General features: G+C 35.4%; 1 annotated feature.

The window, feature by feature from the left end:
- Window positions 520-1,021: an enhancer, noted in NCBI's record as "NANOG hESC enhancer chr4:112130089-112130590 (GRCh37/hg19 assembly coordinates)". NCBI's record gives its function as "activates a minimal SCP1, AML or CMV promoter by ChIP-STARR-seq in naive H9 embryonic stem cells {active_cell/tissue: H9 hESC(naive)}" and the evidence as "EXISTENCE:reporter gene assay evidence [ECO:0000049][PMID:30033119]".

Here is a 2,392-nt window from a genome sequence, read left to right as displayed (position 1 = left end):
TAAATTCCAGGTGGCCCAGTAAGGATTGGAATGCGTGGTTTGGACTGCTTCCTTTTCAGTTACCTCTTAGGAGAGATGCCACTTTGATTTACTGGACTAACTGAAACTGGCTCCTTCAGGGCTGTTAGCAGGACAGGTGCTGGATTGTCGCATCAGTATACACATTTCTAGGTGCTGTCAGTTCCCTTTGGGGAGTTCCATATGGGAGGAGTTCTGTTTTGGCCCAAAGCTCCCTGTCTTAGATGCATCTCTGCACAGCATTTCTTCCCATCTCCATGGAAAGATTAATATCAGCTCGCCATTTCACATATTGCTGAATTGATAGCACAAGATAATTGGTGATGTCATGATATACACAAGATATTATTTCATTGTCCCCCACATTCTAAAAAATAAACATTAAAATTAATTTTATTAACTATTGTTGTATGATGCAGAAACAATTTTTAAAATTTACGTTAAAAGTCCCATACAGATTCAACATACATATTTCAGACTTGAACTTTAATTCTAAACGTTTGTTAATTTCCTTGTACATATTTTCATATTTCAACATAAGCTCCAGGTCTCATTTCAACATTTTTATTAAGAAAATCAATGTTAATAGTTTTCAAACCCATTCATTCCACAGAAGTTCCAAAAAAGCTTTAAAGAATGCCTGTTTCCACCTGAAGGACCAGACAACACATAAACGAAACTCGCAAGACATGCCATTTTACATACCTTTGTAACATCCGGATTAGACTATGACAGTGCCTACCTCCTGGGGCAATTCTTAAAGACCACCCAGGTAACTCAGCCACCGCAGAATGCAGCCACAGTCTGTTGACTTAAGAATGGGGAAGATTGCAATTGTGTCTACACTGTAACGGCAATTTGTTTATTTAGAATACGATGAAAAATCTTAAAGATGAAATTTAAATAGTTGTCTTCTCTAGAATGTAGCTCAATTGAAGGAACACTTTCACATTCTCTCCTTCATGCCACTGTGTGGATTGTAAAGCAGGACTTGGTCCGCTGTCACGTACATTTACACAGCAGCTCAAGAGCTTCAACAAGGGTCTCATTTAATTTAAAGCGATACTTAAATAAAAATAACACCCCTGTCATTAAACATAACCACAATTGTCTAAATAAGCACATTCAATTTATTTATTTGTAAGTTTAAATAAATAAATATTTAAAGCTTACTAGGATGTGTGATAGGGGTTTCTATGGGCCGTATGGATGTTTTATGTGTAGCTTAGCTAAGGACAAAGGTCAGAGGGTTTGAACAGAAAGTAAACTTTTACTTACATTTCTCTAATAAACAGATTGTAAGTTTTTAGTATACTGATCTTCATTCTCCTCTCTAACGCATTACCTCCTCTGCACAATAGTAGTTAGCGACTAGTTTCTGAACTGGAAAACAGGAATACGGTCTCTTTTAATTTGTTATATCAGTTTAAGATTGCCTCACCACCACCACATGTTTAATAAAGATCCCAGTGCTGTGTCTACAATAAATGGATCTTCGGAATCTGTCCTTCAATGTCAGGTATCAATATGCATGTGCAATTATTGTTCCAGCTCCAACAAAAAGGACACCCAAGGTCAGCATTTCTCGTTTATATGGGGATAGATTTAGCTGAAAATGAATTTAGAAGTAGAGGCTTCATCTTATTCATGTGGTAGAAAAATAATATATTTCATTTTTCTAAAGTGAATCAACCTAATTTTTAAAATGAATCATAGTCCTTTGAGATATTTTTAGCGTAAAATGTGTGTAATGGTGTAGAGACGGGTGTTCTGTTTTGGAGGGGCTAGATTTTGCTGTGAAGTGTTGGAAAAAAGATTTGTCTTATTTAAGTAAGAGACTGGTGAGAAAATAAGTCTCTTTGACAAATGGGCCTATGAGTCCCATCTCAAATCAACAATGAGTTTTGTTCTTATAGATAAAAAGTTGAAAACAAGACCAGATAGAGTTAATTTTATTGATGGCAATAGAAGGGTTATTACTGTTCTATTTTCACCAGGCAACTTATACACAATTAGAGTAAAATTGTTTGTAGAAACAATACATTAACACTATTCTTTGGAATTTAAGGAAATAATTATATAAGGAATTTCAAGGTTATTGATATATGAAAATATTAATATACACAGAAAATGAACTATGCCTTTTTCCTTCACTTGGAGATGTTAAAACATCCTATAACATAATTAGTTAATCCTTCTTTAAAACATGTGGTGCTACAGTGCTCTCTCAATCGGGTGGGCGTATAATATCACTCAAACTAGAACCACTTGAGAGGGAGACTAAGAGCTATGAGTTCCTGAACAAGTTAAGCCAGCATTGCCCCAGGCAAACAAATAATCAGTCGATCTACAAATAACTAGACTCCTCCAAAAA

Source organism: Homo sapiens, chromosome 4 (assembly GCF_000001405.40).
Source record: "Homo sapiens chromosome 4, GRCh38.p14 Primary Assembly".
Taxonomy (NCBI): Eukaryota; Metazoa; Chordata; class Mammalia; order Primates; family Hominidae; genus Homo; species Homo sapiens.
Note: the sequence above shows the minus strand (reverse complement) of the source record. Positions and strands in the feature narration are given on the sequence as shown.